General features: G+C 34.7%; 1 long non-coding RNA gene across 1 annotated transcript in view; it reads left to right on the top strand.

Annotated features, from left to right (window-relative positions):
- Positions 1-16,025, top strand: part of LOC105376375 (uncharacterized) — a 60,465-nt gene that overhangs the window by 27,357 nt on the left and 17,083 nt on the right. The gene's annotated exons all lie outside the window — the stretch shown is intronic.

Here is a 16,025-nt window from a genome sequence, read left to right as displayed (position 1 = left end):
GCTCGGAAGGCTGAAGTGGTAGGATGATCTGAGCCTGGAAGTTCGAGGCTACAGTGAGCCGTGATCGTACCACTGCACTCCAGCCTAGGCAACAGAGCAAGACTTTGTCTCAAAAAAAAAATATATATATATATATATATATATATATATATATTATATTACATATATATTATAATATATATATTCTAGAGCAGATTTAATATCAGGGGAGCATTAAATAAATTAGATACATCCACGTGGCAGAATATGATACACCCATTCAAAATGCCATCATAGAACATATCGAATGTAAGGAAAGTTGTTCATGATCAATGTTAAGGGAACAAAGGTCAGTATGGTTGAAGTTTCATGAAGAATGAAGAGGCGGAAGAGGAAGCAGAGAAAGAGGGGGAGGAAGAAGGGAGTAGCAGGAAAAAGGAGAAGGAGGAAGAAGGGAGTAGCAGGAAAAAGGAGAAGGAGGAAGAAGGGAGTAGCAGGAAAAAGGAGAAGGAGGAAGAGAGGGAGAAAGGGTATTTTCTTTCTGCTGAGTAAATTGAGTTTGAAACAAAAATATTTCTGACTGAAGAGTTTAATCTAAGCTTTGCATAACTTGAATCTATGCGTGAGACTCAGTATTATTGAGGAGGGGAGGTAAGAACAAGAAAACAATGTAAACGTCCCTTGCAGAACAATTTCTCTTGTTTAAAAATAGAGTACAAACTGAGATGCTGCACATAGCTCAGAAAAATCACATGTATATTTTTTATCTGAAAAAAAAAACAGATTAAGAGGACTATCTGGAAACAAATTTAATAATTGAGCAGTCTTAGGACACTCAGGGCAAAGGAAAGAACAATAAGGACAAATAGAAATCAACGTATATATGTTGTATGTATGTTTCTTAATTTACTTTACCTTAAAATCATGCTAAATAAGAAATAATTGTATATTGATCTAGAAAGCCGTCTCACTTTATAAACACTGCAAAATAAGCTATACATGCAGTTCTTAATTTGTTCCATTGGAAAATTTTTATAGAAAACACAAAGAGTATATATTTGCATGTTGTTTACATTTGCATGCCATCCCACGTGATTATTTTGAATTATAAATTAAAGTTAGTAATATTTATTCCATTTGTCATATTTAATCTTTTCTACTTTAACATTGTTTATTAGGATGAGAGTCATGAGACCTTTTGAAAATTAAAAGAGGAGGTCTTTAATCTGACTTGGTTATAGACACAGGCCTGGGGAGCTCATCAAGATTCCAAGCAGGAGACAATTAAAGTGTCAATCTAGTGAGATGTACAGGCTTTCTTGAAAACTCAAACGTAAGACACAACTTAGGCAATAAAATCTACAGGAAGTAAATGAAAAATGCTAGTGCTGACTGTCTATTCTGATCAATTTATTATTGATGTTGTTATTCATATATCAGAATGACTAATATATTCATAAATTTCAATTACATTACTATTACAGTCAGGTGGTATGTTAGTATTATTTATTTTATATAAGAATATGAACTAATGATATACATATATTTATACAAATACTTATATCCAGATAGATATTCTCCTCCATTCATGCATTTAGGATTCTATACCTATTCTCTAAAAAAAATAAATCTTTTCATGAACTGAATCAAAACTTCAAGCACTATGGCTATTCTCAATTCCCAATAGCAAACAAATTTCATGGTTCAATTCCAAATCTCTATTATATATGTGTGGCTTGTACTACCTAGCAATTTTTATTTACAGGTTAAACAGGAACATAAAAAAGTAAAAAAAATGCAAATAAAATTGGCAAATATATAAATAGCTGCATGTATAGGTGCTTATTTCATTTTCTAAGATGTCTGTATTTCATGTTATGGGTTGGAATTTGTCCTGAATACATTACAACCAAAGGCATGTTTTCACTGCTCAGCCAAGAAATAGTTTGTGGGTTATGAATTTGGTTAAAACTAAGATCATAAGGTGATAATAGGGGTGAATAGTTTCTGAATAGAAGAGTCACAGGTAAATCAGAAAAAAAGGAGAAGAAAGTAAATGTTTAGTGGCATCCCATTTTGGGAATAGATAGGCTGTTACATCAAAAAGAAAAAGACAGCAGTGAGATACGGGGGACAATAGAACTCTCCCACATATCCCTGTATTTGCTTACAAATATTTTCCTTGTCTGACGTAAAACAAATAAAAAAACGTACATTTCATTTAGATGCTGTGTATAGAGGGAGAACGCAGATACATTTGCTCTGGCAAGAACATTTAGTAGTAATTAGATGCCACAGGAAGAGGAGGTGGCTGAGACGGCTGAGATGGGGACTTGGAACAGAAATCTGACATGCAAGGGCTTTAAATACAAGACAAAGGACAGTCTGTAACTATACTAAGGCAGAGCTAGAAACTTCTTTCAGATACGTTATTTGAAGTTATTTGAAGAACCCCAGTAACCCTCTTCATAAAAAGCATCTTTATGTTGTTTTCTTTTTTAAAAAATTTTTCTTTAACTTCTGGGGTACATGTGCAGAATGTGCAGGTTTGTTACATAGGTATACATGTGCCATGGTGGTTTGCCACACCCACCAACTCATCATCCAGGTTTTAAGCCCCGCATGCATTAAGTGTTTGTCCTAATGCTCTCACTCCCCTCACTCCCCACCCCCTTACAGGCCCGGGTGTGTGGCGTTCCCCTCCCTGTGTCCATGTGTTCTCCTTGTTCAACTCCCACTTATGAGTGAGAGCATGCGGACAAACACCTTTATCTTAAAGAGTGTTGTCCAACTTGTTTCTTGCTCGTTAATGTTGCTGAGACAGATCTGTTTGAAGATATCCCACTATCTGCTTGAAGCCATCGTATTTTACAGCACACACACACACACACACACACACACCATCCTTGGACATGCCAGCAGATGTCCCTACCTAGAAAGTCCACTCTTCTGTTCCGTAGTCCCTGATGCATGGCTCTTTTTCTGACACACCTTTGTCCCGCCCCACTACAGTGCTTGGCAGAAATGGAGGAGAGAAAGAACATTTAAAATATGATGCCAAACATGGCCAGGCGCGGTGGCTCACACCTGTAATCCCAGCACTTTGGGAGGCTGAGGCATGCAGATCACCAGGTCAGGAGATCGAGACCATCCTGGCTAACATGGTGAAACCCTGTCTCTACTGAAAAACAATACAAAAAAATTTAGCCCAGTGTGGTGGTGGGCGCCTGTAGTCCCAGCTACTCGGGAGGCCGAGGCAGGAGAATGGCATGAACCCAGGAGGCAGAGGTTGCAGTGAGCTGAGATCGCACCACTGCACTCCAGCCTGGGCAACCCAGCGAGACTCCATCTCAAAAAAAAAAAGAAAGATATTATGCCAAACACAACCGTGTTCAAAACTGATTGCACAGCAGAAAAAAAATGTTACTGAACGCAAAAACTTATTTCAGCTGATTTTGGCTTTCAGGATGATATTGTGATTCCTATCAGGCAGGTGGCTTTTAGAGGAAAACGTTTCTAGTTTTGAGTTTGGAATTGTATGTAGCTACCTCCTTCCTAAGTGACTTGAAACAATAGAGCAAGAGTTTTCACTGACTGGAGCCAGTTCAGAAGAAAGTGTGGAGTTGTCCTAAAAGAAGAAAATATGATATTTGAAGAGCAGCAGGGAGCAAAGGGCCCAGAAATGGATGAAAGGCTTTGCCCCCTGGGGAGGAGGTCCATCAGCAGGACACTCTGTGAAGTGACTGGGGCTTTAGGTGCAGGCCACATAAGAAACTGTTGAACTGTGACACAAACTGTTTCATTACAGCAAAGTTCAGTAAAGATGTGTAGCACGCAATGTCCTCAAGCCTTTGGCATTGTGGAAAATTATTAAAAGGTGGTTACATCTTACATTTGGGTTTACTTATAAGATGGGCTACAATAAGCAGCTAGATAATTCAGCTGCAAACTGAAAGAGGAAGGAAGGAGGGAGGGAGGGAATGAGAGAAGGAATGAAGGAATGAGGGAAGGAAGGAATGAAAGAGGGAGGGAGGGAAGGAGGGAATAAGGCAAGGAGGCAAGGAGGGAAGGAAAAAAGGAAGGAAGGAAGGAAAAAGAAAGGAGGCAGGGAGGGAAGGAGGAAGAAAAAAATATAAATCAAAGATGACTATGAGAATCTCTACAGTCTATATTAAATTTTCCATAATAGGTGGGGGCTTATGCAGGTGTGTGTGTGTGTGTGTGTGTGTGTGTGATATTAAATAAGAAGGAAAGCCCAGATTAAAGGACTTGGAGACACATAGGTTATATTAAAATTTAACAACATGAGCTTGAACTATGGGAAGCAAGTATTCCATTTATTCAATCATCTGTGTAAATAATTTTAGGCACAACGTTAGGTTCTGGGGGACAGAGATATTAATAAAATGGTCTCTTTATCCTGGGTGTTATTTTTATTTATTTATTTGTTTATTCACTTTATTTATTTATTTATTTATTTATTTATTTGAGACGGAGTCTCGCTCTATCTCTGAGCCTGAGTGCAGTGGCGGGAACTTGGCTCACTGCAACCTCCACCTCCCTGGTTCAAGCGATTGTCCTGCCTCGGCCCCATGAGTAGCTGGGACTGCAGGCGCGCACCACCACGCCCAGCTAATTTTTTTGTATTTTTAGTAGAGACGGGGTTTCACCATGTTGGCCAGGATGGTCTCAATCTCTTGACCTTGGGATCCGCCTGCGTTGGCCTCCCAATGTGCTGGGACTACAGGCGTGAGCCACTGCGCCTGACCATGATTAATGAGTTAAGAAACAAAGTAGAAAGAAACCTTACATTTGGCGCAAGTAATGTGAACAAGCATACACTAGGTGAAACTTCCGAATATTCACAGTTATAATAGTTAAAACAAAAAGCAAAACTACGGAAATATAACAGCCATTTTAAGTTCACCGATAGGATGCAATTCTATCTGGAAAAAGATTCTTTCCATTATCTGGCAATCAAATGTCATTCAAAGACATCAGAAACTCTTGTAGACTCCTTGCCTTGCTTTTCCTGGATTTAAAAATCCTAGAGCTATTCTCACAGACCGTATGGGTCAGGGCTCCACACAAAACATAGCATTTTCCACCCTGGAAACTTCGCAATGGAAACTTTGCAAAGTTCGGGGTGGAGCTAAGGGAAACAAACAGGAGACACAGGAGGAACAGAAGCCAGGACTCTCAGGGAGTTATTGCCACTGCCCTGCCTCATGGGGCAAAAAGAGGTGGTTTCCAGAGCCCAGAAAAGGGCTGCAGTGTAGAAGTGTGTCACTGGACAAGGCCTGTGCCTTCTGCCAGTCAGACCCCCAAACCTCCTGAACCCAAGATCATGGGAAAGGGAAGCAAAATTTTTTTTTTCAAAATTTATCATTGTTTCCTTGGTTCCTAGACCTATTGACCTCAGGTATGACTAAGAGGTGGCACCAAACATTGCCTTCCGGTTTCATGCTTTACTGTGACCTTGCAGGGCAGTGCCTTAACAATGAAGGTGCCGTCTCCCAGCTAATGACTTAGCTGAGTCTTCAATAGGTCGTTCTCCATGTTGTGTTGCAACGTGGTGGGGCACATGGTCAACCACTGAATTTATATTTGTCTCAGGCGTCTACGGGTTGTCTGGGAAATTCTGCTGCTCTGAACTAGAACTGGCCAATCTCAGCTGGGCACTTATTCACCTGTGGCCAGCTCATGAGCAGGCTGGGAGCTGGCTGGCCTAGAATATTCCCAGCTGAGACAACCCAGTTTTTCTCCACCCATCTCATCCTCCAGGGGCTGGTCCAGCCTGTTCTCCTGGTTCTCAGAAATAGTGTGCCTGGGTTCTCAGAAAGAGTGTGCATGTTGTCAAGTCTCTTCTTGCAGCATGTTTTTTGCTGTCCCACAGGCAAAAGCAAGTCTCATAGCCAACCCAGAATCTATGTGGGAGGAAACTAGGAATGGGCGTGGAGACAGGGAGAGGTGGAAAATGAAGAACTTTAGTGCAATCTACCAGAGGTACGCTGGCCTCAAAACATAAGTTTGAAGGTGCTCCTTTTTAATTATTTTCTGGATGAGTTTATGAAACATTGTTTTCAGTTATTTCCTAAATGCTTAGAAGAGTTTCTCAGCAAAGTCATTTATGCCCAGATTTTCTCTTTTGGCATAGTTTCAATTACATTTAATCAATTACAGAATCAATTTGTTTAATAGCTAAACAATAATTTTAAGGTTCTCTTTCTAGTCTCAGTTTTGGTAAATTTGTATTTTTTAATCAAACTTATAATGTATTTTTTTCAATATTTGTCATAATGTGATGTTTTTATGTATGTGGGATTTGTAATCAGCCTTTTGTGATTCTTGATTTTTTTTTATTTGAAACAGAGTCTTGCTCTGTTGCCCAGGCTGGAGTGCAGTGGCGTGATCTTGGCTTACTGCAACCTCTGCCTCTTGGGTTCAAGTGATTCTCGTGCCTCAGCCTCCAGAGTTACTGGGACTACAGGCACCCACCACCACACCTGGCTATTTTTTGTATTATTAGTAGAGATGGGGTTTCACCATGTTGGCCAGGCTGGTCTCAAACTCGTGACCTCAGGTGATCCTTCCACCTCGGCCTTCCAAAGTGCTGGGATTACAGGTGTAAGCCACCATGCCCAGCCGATTCTTGATATTTTTAATTTGTGTTTTCTGTGTTATTTCTTGCTAGGATTTTATCAGTTGTGTTAATTTTTTAATATTTGGCTAAGAGGTAGTGCCATAAAATATAAAAGCAAGACATTCATACTGGGCAAGGAGCACCACCAGATTGTAATGAAGATCTGACATCTTTGAAAATAAAGTTAAAAATAAACAGTGAGATGGTTCATAATACACTGAACTATATCAGTAGCAAGGATGTGCACACGAGTTAAAATTTAATTCCTATGTGGAAATGTTGATGAATAAAAGAATATTGAACCTGGGGAAGCCCAGATCTGGGAATTCATGAAAACTATCTTCAAATAGTGGAGAGGCTGACATACGGAAGAGGGGTTAGTTTTTTTCTGTGCTTCCCCAAGAGGTTGGAGTAGGTAGGATTTACTAGTGAAAGTTATAGGGAGATGGATTTCAACTTCATTAAGGGAGACTATCATTGCTGTGCCAAGCAAGGATATCTTGGCTTAAGTTGTTCAAGGTGAAGCTGGATCCCTGCTTAGTGGAAATATACAGGGCTGTGGGTCTCAATATGTTCTCTCCCTGAGATCTTGCAGGAGTTCTGCGAGACCAAAATGTTTTTCAGAATTACACTGAGACCTCGTTTGCCTTTTGTGTTGCACTGATGGTGCACAAGCCATAGTGGAGAAAACTACGGATGGCTGAGCACAGATATGAGCAGCGGCATGAAACTACGTCAGCAGCGAGTTTTATTTTTATCCATTAGAACATTAAAAGGAATCAAGTGTTGACTTTATTTAAGAAACAGCACTAAAATAAATTAACTTACAATATCGACCCTTCAGTACACATCTTTTAAACATTCCTTGTGATAGCTGGGAAATATGCATACTTAGCTTCTGGAAGTCAAAGTATGATGATTATTTTAAGGAACAGCACTTGTGAGATACAGTTGTGAGTTGATTTTGTTACTTTTTCATGGAAAATAATTTTCAATTGAAAAAATAGCTAACAAGAAATCTTAGGTTATTCAGACATGGGTATTTAGTAGACATTTTCTTAAACAGAATAAACTGATCCTGTCACTTCAAGGAAAACAACAGATACTATTTGTTGCCAATAAATTTGAGCTTTCAAGTGACAGAATTTTGGAAAACATGGAACCACTATTGTGATCTTGAAGCTTCCTAGTAGCTACCTATTTCTCTTATGATATCAGTGGTGATGGTGTAAGTGTGAATTTTTGATACGATATATTTAAATATGTCAAATTTGGAGGAATCGAAAAACTAAAAAAATCTAGTAATTTCCAAGTGACATCATGCATGATGTTATGACATCATACATAGGTAAAAGATCCATTGAAGGTGGGACATAAACTCATGGATATTAATGTACCAGGGTACAGAACATTCACTGATAAGTTTTCAGATTCTACATTACAATTTTCACATTGATGCTTTTAAGAAATTACCGCTGTTCAAATTTTGGTATGGTATCACCTGAGGATAACCACAGTTATCTGAAAAGGCTATTATAATACCCTTCTTTTCCACATACATCTCTGTGTGATGCTAAAATTTTTTATATACTTCATCCAATACAACATATTTCAATAGCATGTATGCAGAAGCACATAGAAGTATTCAAAGAACCCAGCTATGCTCTGTAAATCAGACATTAAAGACATTTTTCAAAATGTATGGCAATGCATATTTTCCACTTCTAAAAAATATAGAAAAGATAGCAACTCATTAATAAATTGTTAACAGGGTATGGGTTTATTATTATTATTTTTAAATGAATCAATAAATAATCATTTAAATTGTTTCAATTTAACCCTGAATATGCTAAGGATTTATGGATATAACCTACTTAACCAAAAGCTCCTTAGGGTTCTCGAAAATTCTTTAAAATGTAAAGGGGTCCTGAGACCAAAATTTCCAGAACGATTATTACAGATCAGAGAGATGAACTCACCACATGAGCTTTATGAGTTTTTTTTTTTTTTTGAAAATACAACATTTGAACCCAATGTTGTCATTTTGGTGTAGAATATCTTGTTGACTTAGTTCCTTCAATACCCATGAGTAAATTCCCAAACATGAGTGATACCGATTGGTTGGCCAAAATGATTGGGACGAATGTCAAAATCCTTTCATTTTATTGTGTAAGCATGGTTTTATTTTAAAATAAAAGGGATTTCATACCTAACGCTTAATACACGTGTTCACTTATGTCATCTTTAAATAAATATTTATATCAGTCCAAAAAGCCCCTCAGCTCAGCCATAAGCTGACTGGTTCCAGAAGGTGACAGTAGTGTTACCCTATCAATATCTTAGGTGGAATAAAGACTTAAATGGTCTATACTTACATACAACAAAGGCAGGCAATTGTTGAGAGTCCTCTCTTAAAAATAATAAAAAAAACTTCAAATGGGTTTAAAATGTGTAGTATTCATTTTGTTTTACTCTTCCACTACGTTTTATGATTCCCTGGAAGGCACATTATATATTAATAAATGGCTGGTTTTCTCTTGATTTTTTTCACCTTATTCTTTCCAAATGGCAAAAATTTGTTTATGAGTGAACTTTAAAAGTTTGAGTAAGATGCTTCAATGCTAATTGAGTTTTTCCCTGGAGAAATCATTTCTAATTAAGATTTTTTAAAAACCTTGGCCTCTTGACCTAAACTTTTAAATGGCATTTTCTCATATTGTTATATGACAACCACACACATGTACCAACTGTACTCAAAATTGGAAATCTTCATCCCTAAAATATATCAAAGGTCTTCAGAAGAGTATTGACCTGGTAGTAATACGTAGTTTATAAATATGGTTATCTATTTTAAAAATCCATTAAATATAGACTGTTATTTCCCAAATAGTGAGAAAACAAAATTTTTTTCTTCTTTGTAACATTCCAGGGCACCTCAGTATGTAACTTTATATACCCAAGAAATGTGCTGTGACTTACAGGGTTGAGAAAACAATTGCTATTCTTGAACAGCCATTTTTTTCATTTGCTTAAGCAAATATTTAACAAATGTCATCTAAGTGCCACAAACTTTGCAACGCACCAGCGTAAAGTGGCAACCACACAAACATGGCTATAAGTAATATTGTTTTTGTTTCATGAAAATCTGACCCTGAACGCATCTGTGATCTGATATTCTTGAGTCCATCATGAGTATTAAGTGCTACTTTGCCATTGCAAATACAGAATAGCTCATGAATTGTTTCAGCATTTAGTATTAGCTCTTATTAATAGGTACGAGGAAGCACTCATTCAAATTTTTTGTGCCCAATAATTACATGGTCTTCACAATAATATTGTCATGTAGACTTTTCATCACCTCTGTTTTTCATACTGATATATATGATCTATAACAATATACCTAAGGTCAACCCATCTAAGAAAGTTAATATTGTGATCTATTGGTTTATTAGTTCCATGATGGTAGACATCATAATAGTTTTTTGAAATTACCTAAGTAAATAAACAATAAATTTGTTTTTCTAAAAAATCACTCTTAAGGTCTATTTTCTTTATAACAGTATATACAACAGAAACTTCAAACTAATACTTACAAAAAATTCAGTAATGTCTCTAAATTGCTAAGCACAAAACTGAGAAACAATGTCAGCTTGCAATGCCATTAGAAGCAATTTTATCAGCCAGTACATGTGCAGAAAGTTCCTGGAATCATTGGCTAAATGACTTGGTTTTCTTCTCATTCATACAGATGTATTAGTGGGATCAGCATTTACAAATAATAGGTGATGTAAAAATACAAAATGTAGAGAAGTGAATCTTTAATGCTTTTAGGAAAGATGATGAGTCCTACTGAACCTGAAATGAATGGTGATTATGATTTAGATAATGAGCTTCCAATAAAGTAGCCATGAGCTTCAGGCAAGTACAAGCTCTTAAGATGTGAGTGACATTAAAGACATTTCTCAAAATTTAAAGCAATGCCTCTTTTCCACTTTTAAATAATTTGAAAATATGGTAACTTTTATTAATAAATGTGTTAACAGGCTATGGGTTTATTATTATTATCACTTTAAAATGAATCAATGAATAATTATTTAAATTTTTCTCAAATTTCACTTTGAAAATGCCAAAGATTAATTGAGGTGTATTGTACATTTAAAATACACACCAGATTTCAAAGATGTAGTGTGAATAGAGGAATAAAACATATTTCATTCATAATTTTTATATTAATTACACACGCAAATGATAATTTTTGAATATATTGTTTAAATAATAGAGTTAATTTAGTTGGTTTAATTTTTTTAATGTCATTACTAGACCATTTAAAACTATTTGTATATGTCTTGCTATATTTCTATTGGCAGTAGTGGTGTAGACAACTGGTTAATAAAAAGTGTAGATTTTTTAAAAATTCGACCCCGCACAGTTTTTTTCATATATTAGCTCCACTTTGATAGTCAATATGAAACTTACCCAATTGTCCCATGGAACTGATGTTTACATTTTTTAAAAGAAACATAGAAATGGACACTCCCAGTCTTAAAACTCGAGAAGCTTACATTTGTCTTATCTGAGTTTCTTTCTCAGGAAACCAACCTTTAGGCCCACTGATGATATAAAGAAACTGAAATTCACCAGATCATTCCATCTGGAGAATGAGACCACAGCCTCCTCACTCATCTTGATTGCCAAACGAATCACACGTTGCCTGCTGACCAACTACTCGTCCTTACCCCTCCCTAATTGCTGTTTTTCTGCAGGTAGTACATTTCTTCTTTGCTATATAAATCTCCAATTTTAGTTGGTTGAGGAGACAGATTTGAGTGTGATCTGTTCTCCTTGGATGCTGCACCTGATTATAGCCCTCTTCCCTGGCAATACTCATTGTCTCAGTGATTGGCTTTCTGTGTGGCAAGCAACTGACCTACAGCACAACCCTGGTGTCGGGGTAACAAAAGTATTCTTGGAAAGGAAGGCGCTGATTTGCAATTAAGCTGTTTCTCATATGGCAACTCTGTATGGTATTTTCCACCCTGTTTAGAAGCTGTGTTTTATTTAATAATGGAAAACAAGTATTCCTCAAAATTTTCCCCGTAAATGGGCTTTCAAATGAATAGAATACTGGTCCTTTTTGAAATTGTGTGAAGATTCTTACATAATGCTTTATTCCATGTTTCTATGATTTAAAATTATGTTTCCAATTCCAATGGTTAAACACAACTTACTTACATACTCCCTACTGTCTGCTTTACACAAACTATTTCTTAATACTGCGGTTGACTGTAACATACTATTTGTATGCTTATACATTTGTTAAACAGCTCAGAATAAAACCCGGATATTTGAATATCTACCCCAAATATAAAAGTAGTATTTTGAGCAGAAACCTGTGATTTTTAACTGCCAACACTATAGTTATTCTTAAATAAAAGATAACATCTTTAAAAATAAACAAAATATGTTAATTTTAAACAGTAAAGGACATCAAAAAAATTTAATAAAAATGATTCTTTATGAATTTCTTTACTATTTATTATTTTTAAGATTCATATCCTGTGTTTGAACTCAACAACTTTTGGACTGGGTTAAGATATATCGTTAAATTCGGCTAAAGCAGTGTTGTCAGATGTTTAGGATTCATATAAATTATTACCCTCTAGTTTATTATCTTCAAATCTTTCTTCAATTATTGAAGAGTTTCATTTAAAATATATTAGAAATAATTTAAAAAGTATATATTTTATATTATATAGTATCACAATTATGAACTTAGAATTACAAAATTAAATTAAAAATCCAGATAATGTTTTCTATGCATGAAAATGTAAAATTTTGGAAATTTATTTTAAAATTCTCATATAATTTACTAAAAACCAATAATAAAAGTGAATGTTTCTAACTTAATGCAACTTACAAAATGTGAAATATTTTATCATAAGTGCCCTCACAATCGACTACTCTCAGGATGGCTAAATTGAACGTATCTCAAAAGTCAAGGTTGGTTAATCTGGCAATGTACTTTTGAACTTGGGAAATATAAGGCAGTTGAAAAATAAATGGCTTAAATTTTTACTTTCCTGATCCATAGCTGAAGTATTTCCATGGCTGTATGGGGATGTCATGTTTGAAAATGTTAAATTGAAGCAAGGTCTTGTGTTAGCACAGTGTATTTGAGGATTTATCATCTATTAAGGACAGACATTTACATATTTGAAAATGTTGATCTACGTGCACATAGCTTGTTTAAATTTGTGAATCACCTCTGCAATGAAATAAGTATAAAGACCTACAGTGTGATCTAATGTTAGAATGAGTCATAGTGGAATTATGTAGTCAAAGCAAACAGTGAAAAGACACACAATAATGTGGAAAGAAATAATGACATATTACTGAATAGTTAGACTTTGAACTTTAAAATAGATATCTGCTAGATATCATTCTAGGGCAAAGCCAACTATGAGAGAGTCATTTTTCTTTAAAAGGAGCTCTTTGTGGAGGCTAAATATAATTACTATTGTGTGATTTATAGACAGCTCTCGAGCAATGTGGATATTTTTATTCCTCTCTCTCTGAGTCTGACTGTTCACTGTTGTTACCTATTTGGATAAAATATCATTTTGAAGTTTGGCCTCTTTAAAAATTCTCTAGATCTACTGGTATAATTTTAATTTGGGACTCTGAATTTTATCACATGAAATTCTAAAAAACAACTATATTCTCAGTGGTCAATTTTCTTATATTACTTCAAAAAGAGAGAAGCTTTGAGTGAAATCCTCTTTACAGAAAGACAGTCTAAATTAGAGCTGCCTCTGTTTAAAGAAAAGTTTTCTTGGTTAATAGTGTTTATAGTATGTAATATGATCTAGCATGTGGTTTTTGTTTAATAAGAATATTTAAATATTAAGTTAATTCAGTATCTAACAATATATGTACGTGGGGACAAAATAATAAGAAAAAATATAGAATGTATAATACAAAAAGAGAATCTTTTTATGTGTCAAAAATGTGTATTCAGGAAATTGTTTTTACATTCTTTAAAACAACTGTTAAGTAGACAGAAATAACAAGATTAAGAAAATATCTATTTATGAGCCAGTATTCAAAAACAAACCACTAAGTGAAAATAGTTATACAGTTTTTAATAAATCTGAAAAAAACCTGTATGGTAAAAACTTGATTTTCTTATCACATTTGCACCCTTTCAAATACATAGATTTATTTCAGTAAACTTATTAGAGGAATGTTGACAATAAAGACATTCTACCTAAAATTATGCAACACGAGATATATAAAAACATGGATAGATGCATGAAACATTATGGATAGTAAAGGATATTTGAAAATGAAACGTTATGGGCAGTAAGAAATATTTGAAAAAAAAGAGAGATTAATGAGAGAAATTTTACCACTAAATATTAAAACACAATTAACCTCTAATAACTACTACTTTTATTAGTGTTGATCTGGTAAAAGAACATAAGACATTGTGTGGCAAAGTTGAGTCCCCAAAACTATCTGTAAGAATTTAATATATGATAACATTGCATTACAAATCAAGGGAAAGCATTGGTGAAAGAACGCAACTCAAAAACATATTTCGATTATTTTTTACTGCCTAAATTTTTAGGAAAAATTTAAAAACTGCATGTTTTATATTATGTACTATCACAGTTATGGACTTTAGAATTATAAAATTAAATGAAAAATCCAGATAATATTTTCTATGGATAAAATGTAAAATTTTGGAAATTTATTTTAAAATTGTCATATAATTTACTAAAAATCCTTAACTAATAAAAATGAATGTTTCTAACTTAATGCAACTTACAAAATGTGAAATTTATCATAAGTGCCCTCACAATCCACTTCCAAAATTCCAGGTGGATTTCACACAAATTTCACGATGAGATAAACGAAAGGAAAAGAATGAAGAAGTAGGAAAATAATAGAGAGAAAGGATGAAGAAAGTGAAGTAGTTAGGGGCAAATTTATGACTACAAGTTATGGATTTAGCTAGGCTTAGAAGCTAAAAGCAAAGATTACAAAATAAAATATTTTAGATTTGAGGGCATAAAATGTAAATATTTTTGGTCATTAAAAACACAATAATCAAGGCAGAGAATATGAAACAGGCACACACCTACAAACACACGCCCAGGTATAAGTGTGCACACACACCCAATGACAATAAAAATGGGCAAAGACATTAACAGACTTGACTAAAGAGGGAATATACATGGCTAATAAAACACAAGAAAATCCAATCCATTGATAATCAAATAATGGTAAGATAGTATATGGTGAATTTTTCTTTTTATAATTTTTGAGGATTAAAATTGTTTGAGGTGAAGTAATAGGATGAGATGGACTCTTAGACTATGCTATTTGAAATATAAATTAGTACAGTCTTTCTGATTATTATTTTAAAAATATGTATCAAGGACCTTAAAAATGTCCATGGCCTTTGATTCAGTAGTTCTATTTTTAGAAATGCATTCTGAAATATGAAATCATGATCAAAAGTATTTAGAACTTACCTTCAACATAAATATTAAAAAAACCAAGGACAGGTTTAATAGGTGGTTATTTACTAGCTAAATAGCATACTCATTTCTAAAGTATGTTTCCAATTAGGTTCAAATGAATGACCCAAAGACTTTCAATATAATCTTGTGTGAAACAATCAGGAGAGAACTGTGTACATTGCATAGTTTAATCTCAAAATGAAATATTGAAATGATAGGCAGGAAGTATACTAAAATATTGAAATTATTTTTCTCTGAGGTATGGGTTTGTATAGGATTTTTTTTAATGTAGGTTTTCTATATTTTTATTTCCATTTCTACATTTCTATTATTTTCACATATTTCCTTAATAATCACGAAAAATCATAACTCTTCCGAAAACCATTAAAAGCCTGTAATGTAAGAGCTATGCCACAGGGCACAGGGCACTCCCTTGCTGAAGCACAGACATTCTTTCCCTCAGTTAGAAAAAGTCTTCTCTAAGGAGGTAGAGCTTTTCCTTTTTTAACATTCATTATTAACACACACCTTACATCAACTTGAAAAGACATGTGCAGATTATAATGCTAAGTGTTTAGGAAAATTGAACCTAGGATTTCAAAAAAAGTGTTCAACAAAATTTCTACTCTTGAATGACAAATGAAAGCATTAGCTAAATGCCACAGGCCAGAAACTCATGCTTTCTAATGAAAAGAGAGGGAAGTAAAGATGAAGACTTCATAAATTATCTTTCAAACAGCTAAAAATAGAGAGATACTTATTTCAGTAAAAAATTATTTAACTTTCACAGCATCAATCACTCTTCATGAATTGACATGCACCTTCTACTCAGTAGGACTATTTCACTACTTCTTTTATGATAATAATTTGTTAAC

This window comes from Homo sapiens, chromosome 10, assembly GCF_000001405.40.
Source record: "Homo sapiens chromosome 10, GRCh38.p14 Primary Assembly".
Lineage (NCBI taxonomy): Eukaryota > Metazoa > Chordata > Mammalia > Primates > Hominidae > Homo > Homo sapiens.
The sequence above is the reverse complement of the archived record's forward strand: the minus strand, read 5'-3'. Positions and strand labels throughout refer to the sequence as shown.